This window comes from Homo sapiens, chromosome 10 (genome assembly GCF_000001405.40).
Source record: "Homo sapiens chromosome 10, GRCh38.p14 Primary Assembly".
Classification (NCBI taxonomy): Eukaryota; Metazoa; Chordata; class Mammalia; order Primates; family Hominidae; genus Homo; species Homo sapiens.
Window position 1 is genome coordinate 133,177,960 of NC_000010.11, and position 19,177 is coordinate 133,197,136.

At 57.2% G+C, this 19,177-nt stretch overlaps 1 protein-coding gene and 1 long non-coding RNA gene across 6 annotated transcripts in view; one reads left to right on the plus strand and one right to left on the minus strand.

Moving 5' to 3' along the window:
* Positions 1-19,177, plus strand: part of KNDC1 (kinase non-catalytic C-lobe domain containing 1) — a 66,194-nt gene that overhangs the window by 17,741 nt on the left and 29,276 nt on the right. For 3 of the 5 annotated variants that reach the window (NM_152643.8, XM_017016858.3, XM_017016859.3), the window contains exons 4-11: positions 5,385-5,531; positions 5,913-6,030; positions 8,015-8,715; positions 10,580-10,694; positions 11,639-11,710; positions 11,793-11,854; positions 17,704-17,862; positions 19,099-19,176. In NM_152643.8, coding sequence (NP_689856.6) covers positions 5,385-5,531; positions 5,913-6,030; positions 8,015-8,715; positions 10,580-10,694; positions 11,639-11,710; positions 11,793-11,854; positions 17,704-17,862; positions 19,099-19,176 — 1,452 coding nt within the window. Of the gene's footprint in view, positions 1-875; positions 2,882-5,384; positions 5,532-5,912; positions 6,031-8,014; positions 8,716-10,579; positions 10,695-11,638; positions 11,711-11,792; positions 11,855-17,703; positions 17,863-19,098; position 19,177 lie in introns of those variants that run through there. The other 2 variants (NM_001347865.2, NM_001347866.2) reach the window with 2 other exon arrangements.
* LOC105378574 (uncharacterized) lies at positions 16,528-18,377 on the minus strand. The gene is made up of 2 exons (XR_946511.3): positions 17,182-18,377; positions 16,528-17,042 (listed from the first exon to the last, which is right to left on the minus strand). It is a non-coding gene; the product is annotated as an uncharacterized LOC105378574 (long non-coding RNA).

Below are 19,177 nucleotides of genomic sequence, written 5' to 3' on the forward strand. Positions count from 1 at the left end.
TATGTGTGTAGCGTGCATGTGTGTGCAGTGTGGTGTGCATGTATGTGGTGTGTGCATGCATGTGGTATGTGTCATGGGCACACGTGTGTAGCATGGTGTGTGTAGCGTGCATGTGTGTGCAGTTTGGTGTGTGTGCAGTGTGTAGCGTGCATGTGTGTGGTGTGTGTGCATGCATGTAGTCTATGTGTCACGGGCACACGAGTGTATCCTGTGTGTAGCATGCATGTGTGTGCAGTGTGGCATGTGTATGTATGTGGTGTGTGTGCATGCATGTAGCGTGTTGCATGTCACAGGCACACATGTGTAGCATGGTGCATGTCTGCAGCACTGGATTGATCCTCAGTCTTTGGGTGAGGACAAGGCTTTCAGTGGATAGTGCTTTTTATTTTTTAATGTTCATGACAAAACATTTTAAACATACAGAAAAGAGAGTAAGAACAGCATATGCGAAGCTACATTAGCGAAACTACAGCAAGTTTCAAGGAATAGGCTTTCCACCCAGCCTCGGATTTACCCGAAAAGATCAGGCCCCTCTTAACACGTAACCACAGAGCCTCGGCCACGCTCGGAAACGTTCAAGCCACTCCCAGCCTGGGTGGGTATGGACTGAGGGTTCCGGTCCCCCCTCTGCTGCCCGAATCTTGCTCTTCCAGCCATCTCCCCATGCGATCTGAGTGAGATCCACACACCTGGCTGCCTCTGTGCCTCCTGAGTCTCTCATGACCCCACACCCCCGACTCTCTTTCTTCCTTGTGGTTTTTGTTGAAAACCTGGTGGTTTGTCCCTAAGGCCAGGCCCAGGACAGTCAGGGGTGCCGTAGGACTCAGGTTCCTACCAGGGCCCACCGGGGACCTGTGGTGTCTGCTCCCTGACAGCCGTCAGCAGCCACCATGAATCCTGCGAGCCGCCACAGTAGTCCTCACCTTGGTTCGTGAGCAGGGCTCCCGCTCTCAGGAGAGCCGCCCTCATCGACGCTGGGCAGCCGCAGCAGACAGTCCCTGTGGACAGAGAGGTGGGAGGCTCGACTCCTTCTCTTCATCCACCTGTTTTCAAAGCAGTGAGTGCATCCAGCGTCCTCCAACGTGGACCAGTGAGCTTGGTTTTATGATCTTATGAATTTAAGATTCGCACGTCTTTGATGGGATTTTGTCTGTTCTGCTGATTCCACCTGAAGCTCAGAAGGCACCCCGGTCCTTGGGACGCAGCTCTGCTGGGCTCTGACCCACTTCCTGGTGTGGCAGGATGCTCCAGCCCCTTCTATGGGGTTCCTGCCCCGAAATCTGATCAACCATTTGTCTGCAGAGCCCTGGCCAGTGAGGCCCTGTCTGGGCCCAGGCGGTCCTGGGAGCCCCCAGGTGCGTGTTCACAGTGTCCTCCTGAGGCCCGGGCTGTGGTGGACCCACCACGCTGAGTGCTGCAGCCGCAATTCTTCTTTGAACCAGTCACCTCAAGTCCACTGGAATTGCTTCCCAGGGCCACGAAGAGCCTCCCAGGGCTGACCTGGACCCTGATCCAAGAATCTCCAGCAGAGCAGAGGAGGGGCTTCCTGAAGCGAGACTCGGGAGAGTGTAACCCGCTTCCTACCCCCTAGAGAGGTGGCCTTTTCAGTTTGGAGAAAAACTTCAACCAGTGTTGAACTGAAAACCACTTGGCTTGACCGCGTTTGCTCAGGAATCGCATCTCGTGGGGAAGTTTTCACGTCCACTTCACGTGCGTGGCCAGGCCCTGTCCCCACTCGAGGCGAGAGCTACCGGGATGCCCATCGCGATCGCAGGCGCCGTGGGAGCTGCAGGCTTTGGACCACAGAGAGGCCCGGAGCAGGAAGCTGCAACGTCCACCTCCTCGACCCGGCTCCCCGTCGCCCTGTGGCCTAAGGTGTGATCATTTCATGCCTGATCGGCCTCCCTCCAGCCTGTTCCCTCCGCTGACGGCCAAGCCCAGCCAGGCAGGGCCACTCGGTGCTCCCAGGACAGCGTCCCAGGTTTTCTGGCCCACAGGCTTGGAGAGTGGGCCCCACCCTCCCTTCCTCTGCCAGACGCCTGCCCGTGGTCCAGCCTCGTCCTGCTGCCCTGGGGCCTCCGAGGTCCTTGTTTCCTGAGAGGAGCCTTCCCTGGCAACATGACCCCCAGGGAACTCACTCAAACGGCTGCTCTTCGCCGGTGGCTCAAATACTGCAGCTTCTGATTCCAGCACAGTTTCTCACAGAAATCTGTTTCTCCATGTATCGCTGTCTCCTGACCCCCGCGGGCAGCACACAGTTGTGTTTCCCTCCTTCAGGGTGCACCATCCTTCAGGTCAGAAGCTTCCAGAAGGCAGAAATGCTGAGCTCCCTGCATCGGTGCAAGGCAGGCCCCGTATGGCTCTGCACCTCGAGGGCCGACTGCGTCCTCTGGGCTCCAAGGGGCCCCTCGCCCGCGGCCATGCAGAGACCTGGAGATGTGAGGCTCCGCGGCTGCAAGGATAGCGTCTCAGGGGCAGGAGGAGCCCTTCCTTATGGTGCCAGCCGGAGGGTGCCCTCCAAGTTCACACCCCAGAGAGTGAGGCTTCAAACAGATTAGGTCTGGATATCTTAAAATTATAAAAATATTAGCAGAAACAAAGGAAAGCTGTCCCTGTAGCCTCGGGGTGGAGAACATCCTCCTGCAAAGCTGCTGAAGATAAACAGGTCAGATTCCACACATGGGCACTTAGAGCTCTTGGATGTGAGAAGACACACGCACAACGTTAGAAGCTGGCAACACACACAGCAAGCGTGTGTGCGGCGCCCAGGCTGAGGCGAGCCCTGATGCGCAGGGGCGCTCGGCAGTCCTACCTCAGCGGAGAAAGCATAGTCCTTGCATGGGGATTTAGAGGAAAAATTAAAACTGCGAGTAGATACGAACAGATGCTTGGTCTCATTCATAATTACAAAAATGCAAATTAACTCGACGAGTGAGTTTACTCTAACAGATTGGCAAAGCCGCAGAGACTGGCTGCGGCTGGTGAGTAAACCGGACGGTCATTTATCAGGAGGGTTTGTCGCAGCTGTCAGAATTGTAAGTGGAGGTGACCTGGGACCCAGCATCCCCCTTCTTGGAATTGAGGCTTTGCACACCTGACATGGCTGCACAGATGCCACATGGGGCACCCACTGACGTCACACGCGGCACCCACAGACGCCACACGGGGCACCCACTGACGCCACATGGGGCACCCACTGACGCCACACGGGGCACCCACAGATGCCACATGGGGCACCCAGGGAAGTGTCGGTCATGACAGCAGAACATGGGAAGCACCCACAGCAGCATCAGAGCGGAGGGGACGGACCCTGTGTGCCCAAACATGCATGTCACAGGTCCCCCAGGGAGGCGGACCCTGGCCCAGGCACGAGAGGCTGGCAGGTCCCCCCCGGATGGCACAGGAGACCCCAGGAGTTGGCAGCAGAGCAGCTATCGGGGCTCCTGGCCCAAGGTGCAAAGTCAGAGACAGTGGCTGGGGCCGGTGCCAGGCGAGCCGTGAGGGGACAGGGAGGTGCCAGGTCCCCTACCAGAGGTGCGTGCACAGCAGGGAGTCTGTGGGGATGGCCAGCGGCCGGGGGCCTGGCTGGTGTGCCAGGTGGGCTGCCCCAGGGCACCAGGCAGGGTGCAGGAGGGAGAGGGTAGAGGAGAAGCAGAAACCAGCCTGCGGGGGAGGCAGGGCCAGGCATGGGACAGAGAAGGTCAGCCGGGGTTCCTGACCGGGAAGGAGATTCACGCCATGAAAAAGCCAGGATGCAGGCAGAGTGCAGCTGGGGAGAGAGAAGAGATGCGTGTCCAGCTGTCTGTGTGTGCTGGGTGTGCACGTATGTGTCTGCATGTGTGCCCGTGTCCAGACCAGGAAGCCCCAGGACCGTCCACACACACACACACACACACACACACCAGACTGTGGAAGTGGAACCACCTGCGAGGCAGTTTATGCCCCAGAGAAGAAAGTGTGGGGTGCTGGGTGCACCTGGTTTCTTCTCTGTGACACTTTCTGTCTTGTTCAAATAAGACATCTCAGGAGAAAAAGGAGTTTGAGGCAGAATTGGATGAGCTTGGTGATAGTGGTTGGAGCCAGGCTCAGGTGGAGTCAGGGGCCCTGGGATCTGGCTGGGTCCCTGCAGCCTGACCCTGAGACAGACCCTGACAGAGAGGGGGAGTCGGCCAGGATGACCAGCTAGCCTGGGGCCGCGGGATGCAGGGCTTTCTGTGAAGACTGGATGCTCCGCTGGTCACCTTGGACCTCACGACGGACTGGGGAGGTGGGTCTCAGGGTTCTGTGACGATATCTTGAGACCACCCAGGGAGAGGCCTGGGGCCAGGGCAGCCCAGGACACGGATGCGCGTCCACTCAGCCAGCCCAGGACGCAGGTGCATGTCCACTCAGCCAGCCCAGGATGCAGGTGCGTGTCCACTCAGCCAGCCTGGACTAGAGTGGACACTTGGGAGCACAGGTGCGGGGGCAGAGCAGGCCCTGGGTCAGGTCCTGGCTCCACACATGAGCTGTGTGACCTGCGATGTGGCCCCAGGCAGGTTCCTGAGCCGCTCTGCGTTCTGCTTCCTCTTGTGGGAAAGGTGAAGCCCCACAGGCAGCCGTCCTGGGAAGAAGTGTCCAGGCCTGAAGTGCGGCCGTGTCCAGGGTGGACCTCGTGCAGAGCCCACCCTCTCAGGCAAGGGAGGAAAACCCAGACTCTCAAACAAAAAGAAAAACCCATCTTTCCTTCTACTGAAATCCAGTTTTTGAGGTTTTGAAGTTTTTGACCTAAACACTGAAAGGCCAGAGGAGTCTGTGTCCCTCCAGAAAGCGCAGAGGGGCGGGGCCATGGCCAGCACAGATCTAGGCCCAACTGCGCGGGCGGCGAGGGCGCGGGCAGTGTGGGCGCAGGTGGTGTGGGCGTGGGTGGCATGGGCGCAGGCGGCAAGGGCATGGGTGGCGTGGGTGCGAGCAATGTGGGCACGGACGGTGTGGGCACAGGCGGTGTGGGCACAGGCGGTGTGGGCACAGGCGGTGTGGGCACAGGCGGCGTGGGCACAGGCGGCAAGGGCATGGGTGGCATGGGTGCGAGCAGCATGGGCGGCGTGGGTACAAGTGAGGAGGGTGTGGGCGGCGTGGGCACGGGCAGTGTGGACGTGGGTGGCGGCAGGGGCGGCAAAAGTGTGGGCGGTATGGGTGTGAGCAGCGTGGGCGCGGGCGGCGAGGGTGCCAGCGGCGTGGGCGCGGGCGGCAAGGGTGTGGGCAGCGTGGGCACGGGTGCTGCTTCCCCTCAGGGGAATCTCACGATTCCTGAAACTTGAGCTCCTGGCCCGGAGAAGTGCTGGCCGCGGTCGGGGTGGCGCACACGCAGAGACTCTGGAGCTGACAGCCTGTCGTGCCCACAGGCGCACATCTACTCTCTGGGGGCCACGCTGAAGGCCGCCCTCGAGTACGTGGCAGAGCCCACACTGGAACCCAGGCTGAGCCAAGACCTCGAGGCGCTGCTGAGCCGGATGCAGGCGGAGGACCCCGGGGACCGGCCGGACCTTGAGGTAAGCGAGGCTGCCCTGGGCCACCCCAGGCTGTGACCCTGACCCCACAGGCCTGGACACCGTGTGCTCACCACACCCACGCCCAGCAGCCTCACCTGGGTTCCGCAACCACAGTCTCATGGCATGGCATTTTGCTTAAAGGAGGACTTGGTTTTTTATTGTCCATTTTTGTTATGAAAGGTTTTGCTTGTGACAAGCCTCCTGGTTCTCTGCAACCCAGATGTGCTGCCTTTTCATACTAGAAAATGGGCAAGGCAGGCGCAGGCAGGCTCTGGGGACTGTCCCCAGGTCACCTTCAAAGGATCCGGCCGTGTCGGGTGGGTGGCTGCGGGAGATGGCCCCTCCTCCGAGCCTTCCTGTCTGAGGTGTTCCCGTCCCCAGAGCATCATCGCGCTGTGTGAAGAGAAGCTGCAGCTCACATCCTCCTGTCGCGTGTGCCGGAGCCTCTCTGCTGTGGGGAGGAGGGTCCTCTCCATCGAGTCCTTCGGAGCGCTGCAGGGTGAGTTCTTGAACCCACACACGTGCATCCTCATGCACATATACCTGTGTGCCATGTATGCACACGTGCACATGCTGCAAACACACCCATGCACACACACACACTGCACACACACCCATACTGCACACACACCCATGCACACACATGCCACACACACCCATGCACACACACTGCACACACACCTATGCACACACACACCTATGCACATGCACACCCATGCTGCACACACCCATGCACACACACCCATGCGCACACACTGCACACACACGTTACACACACCCATGCACACACACGCTGCACACACACCCATGCACACACTGCACAACCCATGCACACACACCTATGCACATGTGCTGCACACACGCTGCAACACACCCATGCACACACACATGCTGCGCACACACACGCACACACGCACACACCCACTCACACATTCAGAGATCACACAAACTCACGTATTCACACACTGACAGTCACACACGAGTGTTCAAATAGATCACATGTGCCTCGTACACACATATTCACTCTTGCTCACAGTCACACACATGAAAATTCAGGCATGCCTGTTCACACTGCACACGCCCACACCAGAATGCACACATTACACACCCGCTCTCATGCCTACCACGTCCACTGCCTCACACGTGGTCAGACACGCAAACATGCTGGTCCTATGCACACACCCATTTCCACACTCTCATGTGCATCATGTTGCCTGTGCCAGCCTTGCAGGCACCCACGCAGGCAGAGGTGACTCAGGCTCAGCTTCAGAAGTCTGTGGCATTGGTGCCAGTGTGGCATTGGTGCCGGTGTGGCATTGGTGCCAGGCATCTGGGTGTTAGTCTCATGGGCATTTCAATAAACGGATGGGTTGATGTTTCACAACTGAATTTCACCTGCCCCCACCAGGAGCGCCAGGTGGGTGCGTTACAGAGCTGCAGCTGCAGCATCTGGGGCGTTTGTGGCTCACGCATATTCTGGTGTCTCTCAGGCCGCCTTTGAACAGAGGCCGTGTCTGCATTGGCATCGCTACCTGCAGCACGGAGCCCCGTGGGGCCTCAGGACGGTAGCCAGGGCACGGCCACGAGGAGTCTCATGGTGGCCGGCAGGGCCCTCCCTGCTGAATGAGCACGTTTGCAGCTCAGGGTTTGTGCTGCTGCGGGAGGGGCGCAGTGTGGAGTAGGCAGTGTGTGCAGTGTGGAGTAGGCAGTGTGTGCAGTGTGGAGTAGGCAGTGTGTGCAGTGTGGAATAGGCAGTGTGTGCAGTGTAGAGTAGGCAGTGTGTGCAGTGTGGAATAGGCAGTGTGTGCAGTGTAGAGTAGGCAGTGTGTACAGTGTGGAGTAGGCAGTGTGTGCAGTGTGGAGTAGGCAGTGTGTACAGTGTGGAGTAGGCAGTGTGTACAGTGTGGAGTAGGCAGTGTGTGCAGTGTGGAGTAGGCAGTGTGTGCAGTGTGGAATAGGCAGTGTGTGCAGTGTAGAGTAGGCAGTGTGTGCAGTGTGGAGTAGGCAGTGTGTGCAGTGTGAAGTAGGCAGAACAGAGCCACACACAGCAGAGAGAGATCAACGCCGTGTGTGGGAGGCGGCCGCTGACGGCCGTAGCCACATCATCCAGGTTCTTCCTGTGGGGACTCACCTGTGTAATCCTCGAGGAAAACGACGTGCCTTTGGATGAGATAATTAGGTCCAGGCTCCCATAGGAAGCCCCAGAGGGAAGCCCCGCCTGGCCTGGGGGAGAGGCAGCCCCAGCCTCTAATTAGCCAGGATGACCTGATGAGTGGGGCAGGAGAGGAAGGCGGGAGCCCCCTCCTGTGAGAGCCTGGGTTGGGGTCTGTGATCGTGGGAGGGGAGGAGAGGGGAGGGGAGGGGAGAGGTGGGAGGGGAGGGGTGGGAGGAGAGGGGAGGGGTGGGAGGAGAGGGGAGGGGCGGGAGGAGAGGGGAGGGGCGGGAGGGGCACCCAGCCGTGACCACATCTTGCTTGTGCCCAGATGTCAGCGAGAGCAGCTGGCGGGAGAGACCTGCCCCAGGAAACGCTGGGCCCAGGAGGCCGCCCGGGGACCCCAGCACTGACCCGGAGGTTCTGCCGACCCCCGAAGGCCCGGAGTCTGAGACGAGCCGGGGCCCCAGAGCCTCCCCAACCAAGGCTCTGCTGTCCACCCCGGTGAGAAATGGCGAGAGCCACAGCCGGGAGGGGCTGGCCGGCCTCGTCCTGGATGCCGAGCGCACCCTCGGGGAGCTGGACAGAGACGCCCTCAGGAGAAGCCGCCTGCGGAAGGTGCAGACGTTCCCTAGGCTGCTGTCCGACAGCCCCGAGGCCACCCTCTGCCTGCCGCTGACCCGCGGGAAAAGCCAGCTGCCCATATCGGAATTATTCTCTCCGGACCCCAGGAAGGCCTTTCTGGACAGGAAAAATGGCCTTTCTAGCTTCCAGGCTCAGCCCAAATGCAGGCTGTGGCCGGAGCAGGAGCCGGAACACCAGCTGGGACGGGTTCCCTGTGCAGGCCGCAGCACGGACAGGGGCCCTGGGGTGCCCGGCAGTCCAGGACAGCCCGAGACTTCACACCCCAGCCAGGGGCCAGCAGAGGCCCCTGCAGACCCTCGAGATGCTAGCGGTGAAGCCCAGACTCCCAGGGACGATGAGAGAATTCCAGAAGGAGCTAGGCAGCTGGAAAGTGCAGCCGCGGAGCAGGTGGGTGCCTGGGTCTTGTGTGTGGGTGGAGGGGTCGGCGGTCAGTGAGTCCGGGGCCGGGCCTCTCCACAGATGCAAACGCTTTGTTTAACTCAGAGAATTAACCTTCACCCTCGCTCCATAATTAAAGACATTTTCATTGAGCTGCCCCGTTTCTGAAGGAAGCTGTGGCTGCGGCTGGGGATGCTGTCACCCAGGCGTGGCCTCTCGGGTAGACGTTTGCCTCTGGATGACCCAGAAAGCAGCCGCCTCCTCAGCCCTGCCCGGCTCCTCACACAGCCCCGCACGGCCGTCCCGAGGGATTAATTTTCTTCCGGGAAGCAAGGCCAGCAGCCCCGGCTCCGTGATGTCATTTCAGGGGCTCCGTGTCCCCAGTCCTGATGCTCACAGCCCTCCTCATCTTCCTATTCTGACGGTTTAAAAGTTAGAAACCAAAGCTGTGGGTTGAGCTTGCTCATCTGTGGGGCTTGGTGGTGTCGGTGCTGGGCCACCTCCGCTGCCTCCGCGGGGACGCTGGGATCTGGTGCGGCTGCCCGGACGTGGCCTCCACACAGGATGGGGCCTCCCCAGCCCAGTGCTGCCCCTGGTCAGCTGCTCCTCACGAGGGATGGAGGATGCTGTTGGAGCCAGTGTTCTGGGGGGCCTGGTCCGTCGGCCCCTCTGTCCAGCCGAAGACGCTTGGGCCAAGGCCTGGCCAAGTGCATTTTGCCCTCCTTGGCTCCTCAGTGAGCCACCCCCAGCTGTGTCCCCGTGAGCTCCTCCGGGCAAGGTCACCTGAAGTCAGTGGCCTGCATGCAAGTCCATCTGCCAGGCAGCGCCTGGCCCGGGGACGGGGGTGCCCTCAAGCCACCAGGCCTCGTTGATCTGAAGGACAAGGGCGCAGTGCCCCGTCGCCCTCCACCACTCTCCCTGGCGGCACGCCTTCCCACGCACAACAGCCTACCTTCCCGAAGGGCACACGGAGGCACAGGGTGGCCGAGCCACCTGTTGGAGGGTGGACTTTGGTCCCAGCTGTCCGTGAGGCCTTGGAGTGGAGAGTGGCCTCCCAGGCTGAACGCATGCCTGGTGTCACGGTGTGTGTGTATGTGAGAAAATGCACCGAACAAAAGCCACCACTTCAACCCTCTGCAAGAGCACAGCTCAGCGGCATTGGGTGTGTTCACGCTGTTGCACAGCTGTCCCCATCAGCCCACACGAAACCCCAACCCCCGAGCCCGCCCCCTGCACCCCGTCCCGCCCTCCACCTCCATGAGCCTGGCCCCTGCACCCCGTCCCACCCTTCCCCTCCATGAGCTCTGTCCAGGGGCCTCGTGGGAGTGGGATGGACAGAGCTGTGTGTCTGGTCTCTTCACTGAGCCCACTGTCCTCACGGTTCCTCCCCAGGGAGCCTGCGTGAGAACCCCCCATCCCTGTCCCGAGGCCAAGCGCCATCCACACTGCCCCTGCGTCCGTCCGTGGATGCCTGGGTGCTCCCCGTGTTGGCTATTTCGAGCCGTGCTGCTGGGAACATGGGTGTGCACGTATGCGTGAGCCCTGCCCTCGGTTCCTCGGGGAATGTGGCCGTGTGGAACTGCTGTCACCTGGGAGGTGTATGTTGAGCTTTTCAAGGAACGGCAGCACTGTCGTCTGCAGTGGCTGCACCGTGGGACGTTCCCACCCACAGGGCCAAGGGCCCCAGTCTCCCCACGGCCCCCACACGCTGGAGTTGACTTAGGGACCTCCCTAGCCCTTCTATCAGGTGTGGGGGGCGCCTACTCAGGGGCTGAGTGGGCCTCACCCTGGCCTGTCCCCCGGACATGCCTCTCCAGGCGGCGGGCCCTGGCAAGGGGTGTCCACACTGACCTCGCCGCTCTCCTGCCCACAGTGGGTGTCCCTGCAGGACCTCCTGTCCCAGCTGGGCCGGCCCTTCCGGGAGTACGAGCTGTGGGCCCTGTGCCTGGCCTGCCTCCGCGCACTGCAGACACGCCCTGAGCACCCAGGTGACGCACGCACCATCCCATCCCCCCCGCCGTCCCCACCCCCCACTGCTGTTCCACCCCCCACCGCCGTCCCACACCCCCGCCGTCCCACCCCCCACACCGTCCCACGCCCCCCCACTGTCCCATCACCCCTGCCGTCCCATGCGTAACTGGCCCCCACCTGAACCAAGGGACCCAGGGGCAGCCAGGACAGTGTCTCCGGTGAACGGAACAGGCGGCTCCCGTCTGGAGCACCTTGTGGGTGCCTGCTGGGTTGCAGCACCGAGGGAGGTGTGGGGACAGATGCCTGCAAGGTGGGCCTTGAAACCGGTGACTGTGCCGTAAAGAGGAACGGGGACTTTGCCATGGCCCTCGCCCACACATTCTCAACACAGTGACATTGTCCCCAGGGAGGCAGCAATTGGCTTTGGAGTGGGGAGGGAATCTTCAGCATTGCACGGGTCTGCCCCGTCAAAGCCTAGCCCTGCCAGACATCAGGGCAGACGGACGGTGCATCTGAGACGTAAAAACGTCCTGGGGGTGATGAGGGCAGCATCTGAAAGGGCTGGGGGAGAGGCCATCGGAGACACACCCGGCTCCAGTGTCCGTCCACCGTGAGCCCGTGGCTGCCCCGTGGGCCCTGACTCGGGACGGGGCCTGTGACACGGGGGCTTCAAGTTACCGTGTTCTCCCTGCCGCTTGGCTCCCTTTCAGCCGCAGATATGCCGCTGCAGCCACTGTGTCGGCTGGGGCAGCGCTACCCTCGGGGAGGGCTGGGAGGAGGCAGCTCCGAGGACCCCGGGGGCTGGGGTCAGGCCATGTGCGTGCACTGGCAGGTGCGTGCCCGTGCAATGGGGAGGCTGGGGGGCTGCCCGGCCTGACTGAGGCTCCGCAGCTCCTTCCCCCCAGCCAGCCCCAAGTGCGGGGCAGCATGCATACCCGCCCTGACCCAAGCTCTGCCACAGCCTACCTGTGTCTGGACTCCGTGCTGGTTGCTGAGGACGGGGCTGTGCTCTTCCAGCCACCCCCTGCCAACGGTGAGTGTGTGGGTTCCCCTCAGGCCGAGTCCAGCACCGGCTCGCCAGGGGTGAGGAAAGCTCAGTCGGGTTTCTCTCTTAGGTTCCTATGACTCGTTCTTTCTGGCTCCCGAGCTGGCAGAGGAGAGGCTGGTAACTGAAAAGGTACCCGGGCCCTCCCCACCCTGCCCCAGCCCTGCCCCCAGCCCTCGGGGATGCCACGTCCCCCATCTGTCCAGCAGCCCCCCATCAGGACTCGAGGGAGTCAGGGCAGCCCTTCCTGGCCAGGCGGCCACAGGCGGTATCTGCCAGCAGGGCCGTGGCTCTGGCCGGGGCACCAAGACAGGGCTTGGTGTGGACGGCACTGGCCATGTGCACTAGAGCTGCGCCTCCTGGCTCACGAGAACTAAGGGCTAAACAACCAGGGATGTGTATAAGGCACCTGTGAAACATGAGCATTCTTAAAATTTAAATTACACAAATTTAAATACAATTCAATAAATTACATTCAAAATCAAGGTAAAACTTCCACTCAGGAATGATAGAAATGTGTACTTCCCGCTCCTCCCACCGAGGAAGAGCACTAAGTACCCTACACTAAGCACCCTGCACTAAACAAACACCCTGCAATAAGCACCCTGCGCTAACCACCCTGCATTAAACACCCTGCAGTAAGCACCCTGCACTAAACACCCTGCACTAAGCACCCTGCACTAAACAAACACCCTGCACTAAACACCCTGCAGTAAGCACCCTGCACTAAGCACCCTGCAGTAAGCACCCTGCACACTGTGCAAAAAACAAGCACCAGGCCACCTGCAGGGGGAGGAGACGGCAGCCGGCGAGGGGCCTCTGGACCAAGGAACAAGGCAGCCGTGAGTGCCCTGGGTTTTCCTTCTGCCTCACATATTGAGACTTGGAGGTAAAGAAGCCGGTGACCGGGAAAAAGCAATGGGCGCACACTAAAAGCCGCGCTTTTTCATCTTCTGGGGATGTTGTCTAGAGAAACTCGGAATGGTCCACCATTTGCCAAACCATCGAAGGCTTTCCTGCAGTCTAGCCTGTAACGAAAAGAGGCTGTCCTGAACCCCAGCAATAGATCGTTCACCTTTACACCAAGAAGGCTGGGAAAGCACTGTCATCTGCAGGTGGCCCAGGCCGACCTCAGGGGGTTGGTGCTGTGAGACCTGAAGCTCTTATGAGATTGTCTCAAACAAAAACCGCGTCCGTGAGGCTGCAGTGGCTCTGTGTGCACTGTGTGTGTTCCTGTGGGATCCCTTCAGGGTTAGTGCTTTCCCCTTCAAGGAACGAAAATCGCTGGGAAAGTGCTGAGGCACAAGCACAGAGTCAGAAAACTAAGAAAAAATGAAGCTTTTTGGAGTAATAAAAAAGAGTTTAAGCCCCAACTGGCCGGGCATGGTGACTCACGCCTGTAATTCCAGCAATTTGGGAGGCCAAGGCGGGCAGATCACTTGAGTCCAGGAGTTCGAGACCAGCCTGGGCAACATGGCGAAACCCCATCTCTACTAAAAATACAAAAATTAGCCGGGTGTGGTGGCACGTGCCTGTAATCCCAGCCAGGTGTGGTGGCACATGCCTGTAATCCCAGCCAGGTGTGGTGGCGCATGCCTGTAATCCCAGCTACTCGGGAGGCTGAGGTGGGAGGATTGTTTGAACCCAGGAGGTTGCAGTGAGCCAAGATCATGCTACTACACTCCAGCCTGGATGACAGAGCCAGACCCTGTCTCAAAAAATAAATACCCCAACAGGGCCGGGTGTGGTGGCTCACACCTGTAATCCCAGCACTTTGGGAGGCCAAGGCAGGTCGATCACCTGACGTTAGGAGTTTGAGACCACCCTCGCCAACATGGTGAAACCTCATCTCTACTAAAAATACAAAAATTAGCCAGGGGTGGTGGTGTGCACCTATAATCCCAGCTACTTGGGAGGCTGAAGCAGGAGAATTGCTTGAACCCAGGAGGCAGAGGTTGCAGTGAGCAAAGATGGTACCACTGCACTCCAGCCTGGTTGACAGAGTGAGACTCAGTCTCAAAAAAATAAGTAAAACAAATGCCCCAACAAAAGCCTGGGTCTGTAATCAGAGGACCAGGGAGGACCAGGATGCATTTACACCCCCTGCTCTGCACCAACCAAACCCCACAGGAGCACTGCGGCCCCGCCCAGCAAGGGCCGAGCCTGGAGCCTGGACTCATCTTTGTGAGACTGCAGAGAAGTGTCCAGTGCCTGCCCTGGCCCCAGGTGGCCTCAAAGAAAGTGAGCAGGAGCCAGGACCTTCCTTCCCTGCAGCGTGTCCTGCAAGGACAACTGGAAATCATGGCTGAAAGGAATTGGAGACCACACCAGCAAGTGGAAACACATCCCATGCTCACAGATGGGCAGGATCAGTGTTGGTAAAACAGCTACACTGCCCAAAGCAATCCGCAGAGTCAATGCTATTGTTATCAAACTACCAATGTCATTTTTCACAGAATTAGAGGAAACTATTCTAAAATTCATATGGAACCAAAAAAGAGCTGAAATAGCCAAAGCAATTTTAAGTGAAAAGAACAAAGCCAGAGGCATCACGTTACCCAACTTCAAACTATACTACAAGGCCACAGTAACCCAAACAGCATGGCACTGGTACAAAAACACATAGACCAATGGAAGAGAATAGAGAGCCCAGAAATAAGGCTGCACGCCTACAATCATCTGATCTTTGACAGAGCTGACAAAATCAAGCAATGGGGAAGGACTCATGATACCAAGAATCAGGAAGATGTCAAACTGAATGAAAACAGGCAACCAATGATACCAACCTGGAGATGACAGAAATTTTAAAAGTGACTTTAAAATTTTTAAAGCAACCATCATAAAAATGCGTCATTGGGCAATTGCAAACACGCTTGAAACAAATGAAAAAGTTTCAGCAAAGAAATACAAAGTTTCAACCAAGGAATAGAAAAGAAAAAGAAAAAGCTAATGGAAATTTTAGAGCTGATTTTTTAAAAAAACTCAATGAATGGGCTTAATAGCAGAATAGAGAGGGCAGAGGAAAGAATTGGTGAAATGGAGACAATAGAAATTACACAGTTTGGACAACAAAGAGAAAATAGACCAAAAGAACTGAACAGAGCCTGAGAAGCTTGTGGGACTATAATAAAAGATCTAATATCCATGTCATCAAAATCCTGGAAAGAGAAGAGAAGGAGGGTGGTGCATAAAAAGTACTCAAAGAAATAATGGCTGAAAACTTCCAAATTTTGGCAAGACACATAAGCCTACAGATTTCAGAAGGTGAGAAAACCCCAAACATGATCAATGCAAAGAAATCCACACCAGGACACATCATAGTCAAACCTCTGAATACTAACCCTCCCCTCTCCGAAAAAATAAAAATAAAAATAAAAAACAAAAAGAGAGAGAAACAGCAGCTTACATATATACACATATGGGGGGGGAAAACAGTTCAGATGATCAGATTTCTCATCAGTAACTGTAGAGGAAGTGCATAGCATTTTTTTAAGTTCTGAAAGAACTTTCAACCCAGAAACCTATTTCCAGCAAAAATATCCTTCAGAAATTAAGGAAACAGGCTAGGTGCAGTGGCTCAGGCCTGTAATCCCAACACTTTGGGAGGCTGAGGCAGGTGGATCACCTGAGGTCAGGAGTTTGAGACCAGCCTGGCCAAGATGACGAAACCCTGTATCTACTAAAAATACAAAAATTTGCCAGGCATGGTGGTGGGTGCCTGTAATCCCAGCTACTTGGGAGGCTGAGGCAGAAGAATCACTGGAATCTGGGAGGTGGAGGCTGCAGTGAGCCCAGATACAGCCATTGCACTCCAGCCAGGGCGACAAGAGCGAGACCCTGTCTCTTAAATAAATAAAGGAGGAAGAAGGAAGAAAGAAGGAAGGAAGAAGAACAAGAAGAAGGAAAAAGGAGAAGGAAGGAGGAAGAGAAGAAGAAAGGAAGAAGATTGACAGAGTAATGTTTAGAAACATGACCTAACCATGTACTGTCTACCAGAAACTCACTTCAAATAAAACAATATAAGTAGGTTGAAAGTTAAAAGAGTTGAAAAAGATACATTATGAAAATGATAAAAAGAAAGCAGAAGTGACTGCATTAATATCAGGTTAAGTGTACTTCAGAGCAAAGAAAATTACCAGAGATAAAGAGGGACATTCTATAACAATAAAGGGTCAGTCCGCCCAGAAGACATAGCAATCCTAAACATATATGCACCAAATAACAGAGCTGCAGAATATGTGAAGCAAAACTGATAGAATTAATAGAGACACAGATGAATCCACAATTATAGTTGGAGATGCCAGTTTCCCCTCTCTGAACACTTGATAGAACAATCAGACTGTAAACCAGTAAAAATATGAAGGAACTCAACAACACTGTCAATCAACACGGCTGGATCAACATTTAAAGGACACTCCACCCAACAACAGCAGAATCCACATTCTTCTCAGTTGCCCCACTGACTATACACCAAGCTAGACCAAATCCTGAGCCATAACGCAAACCTCAACAAATTTAAAAGAATTTAAGTCATACAAATGTGTTCTCTGACCACAGTAACAAAAATAAAAGGGAAATTTTCCAAACACTTGGAAACGAAACAACACATTCTAAATACTCTATGTGTCAAAGAGAAAATTTCAAGGAAATTTTAAAAACATATAGAACTGAGTGAAAATGAAAATGCAACATATGGCGAACCAGGATTTTTGTGCCAATGGCGATGTGCTGGCTGAGATACTGGACTATATCAGTATCAGTATTTTGCAAGCTGCTACTGTTGTGGAAACTGGGTACAAAGTACATGAGCTCTATTATTTATTAAAACTATGTACAATTATCACAAAATAAAAGGTTAATTTTTTAAAAGTGTAACAAGTGCTCAAAATGGGTGATTTCCTACTTATCTGACTCTAGTTGGCTGTTCTATGCTCGTGGGGCTGTCTGCGTCTGCTGTGCCTGGATGGGGGAGACTCTGTAAAGGGGAGCTGCCTCTTCCCAGCTCCACACTCAAGGGCACTGCATTGGTAGCCAGAAGTCAGCCACGTGGGAGTACTTACACCAGGGAAAGCAGCAAACGCTACAAATGTCTTGTTCTGTTGACTCTCTGGACTTACTGAAGTGATGGAGAACACGTGGATGATGTGATTAAACTTAAAAGTGTGTCATGTCTGTGGCCGCTCCCTTGAGAATAGCCCAAAAGGTGGAGGACATGGTCTTACGATATCAACCGCGACCATCTGATTCAGCAAAGACGTCGCTCAGAGGGGTGCCCCGAATTCCAGCATGGGTCTGTCCGGCTTCACTTCCATCTCATTTACTGAAATGAATGAAAACATCAACCAACACTCATGTCAGCAGCACTCGTGTATTGTGGTGGACTGTGGATGAACATGGGTTTCATTGATTTTTATCAATGAAAGCCTTCAGTGAGAATTGACTGGCTCTGTGGAACTTACAAAACGTGCATCAAATGGTGTGCTGTGCATCCCTTACATCAGCAACGTGCCGGATGAACTCAGTTTGCACACAGGCGGTGTGTTCGCTCGGAGAGCCAGTTGTTAGCCATGTAGCAGCACGGCACCAGTCGGGGGGCTTCCGGGAGCAGGCACCAGTCGGGGGGCTCCCGGGTCCGTGAGGTGGGGGCTATGCTGGCCAGTTCTCCTCAAACCCTCGAGCTGCTGCCTTCGTGAGGAGAGTGGAAGGTGGGAAAGTCCAGTTGAGGCTTCCAACCCTCTGGTGTTTAAAACGCGGACAGAACCATGGGGGAGAGTTCGACCTGCAGGTTCCTGGACCACGACCTGGAGGCGGATGCAGGGGTCCAGGGTGGGGCCTGATAGATGCTGAGGAGGGGTCTTGAGGAGAGCCCCTCTGTGGGGGCAGTGCCTGGGTGCCCCTCAGGGTGCCTGAGGTGGGCAGGTCTGCTGGGCACAGCAGCCCACAGCCCTGCGGTAGACACTATTCTCTCCCCACCCGCCCAGGCCTCTGTGTACTGTGTGGCCGCCGTTCTGTGGACCGCAGCCAAGTTCAGCGTCCCCCGCAACCACAAGCTGGCCCTGCCACGCAGGCTCAAGACCCTCCTCCTGGACATGGCCAGGCGCAGTGCCCCGGAGCGGCCGTCCGCGGCTGAGGCCATCAAGGTAACCACACCACAGTCATGGCCCCAGCCCAGGGTCCAAGGACTGTGGGCAGTGGCCGCCCTCGCTGAGCTGGGGGTGGAGGAGCACGGGCTGCCAGTGTCCAGGTGATGAGGCCACCAGGTCTGTTTCTAGGTCCCTGTTTCTAGACGTCGGCCTGGCCGTCGCATGGGGAAGGGAGTGGGTTTCGCGTCATGGCCACGTCCATGTGGGTGGACAGCATGGGGGTCTCTGCTGCTCCCCACCATGGCCGTTCCTCCTGCGGAGCCCGCTCTCTCCAGCTTGTCCAAGAGGCCAGGGCGGGGGCAAGGGGTGTCCTGTGGGCACGTGCAGACCCCTGCTCTTAGGCCCTGCTGGAGGGGAGCAGAGAGAGGCCTCCACACCTCACCCCCCACCCCGAACCCCCACCTCCTCTGAGGATCCCACCAGCCCCGCCCCTCCCTGCCTGGTCTCCCTGCTGGACTCAAGCTTTGGGGCTGGGTTCTAACGTACTCCTGCTGGGACCTGCACCCGCACCCGGCATGGGGACCAGCGGGTGGACCAGCAGGTGGGGCAGGAGCCAAACTCTCATGTGTCAGTGATCAGGAGGACCTCCTGGGGAGGAGCCGAGCTGGGTGTGGGTGATCAGGAGGACCTCCTGGGGAGGAGCCGTGTCTGGGGGAGCGGAGACGGCCATGGGGTTGGGGACCTGGGTCCAGCCGTCTCCGCCTCGACTGCTCTGTGGTCTTGGGCGGGTTGCTCAGACCCTGTGGGCCTCTCAGGCCTCCTCTGCTGCAGGAGGATGAGATCTAGACACGGCTGGGCGTCTGCCAAGCAGTGAAAGCAGATTTTATTCAGTAACTACTGAGAGCTGGGGAAGCTGAGCTCAGTTCCCATGTGCACAAGGCCTGAGCTTATAAAGGGAGGACAGGAGTGGCCGGGGGCAGGGAGCGTGGGGCTCAGGCGAACGTGACCAAGGGCTGCCAGTGTCCAGGCGACGAGGCTACCAGGTCTGTGGCCAACGCTGGGTTTGGGATTCTGCCCTCCCAGGGAGCCTGGGGGACAGTGGCCGACTGTGAGCCCTTTTCAGGAAATGCTCTAAGAAAGGCTTGTCCGGGGCCTGTAGTTGGGTGTCGGTGAGAACAAACAGGAAACCCTCCTGGCAGCCCTGAGCTTTTTCAGATGGGGACCCAGTGACACGGGGACGGTGCAGCCGTGGCTGAGGCCTGTCGGGACGTGTGAACTGTCTCCTCCCTCCAGGTGTGCGGCAGCTACCTCCTCCAGCGAGGCATGGACAGCCGGAAAATCCTTGCCCACCTCAGAGCTTCCATCTGCCAGG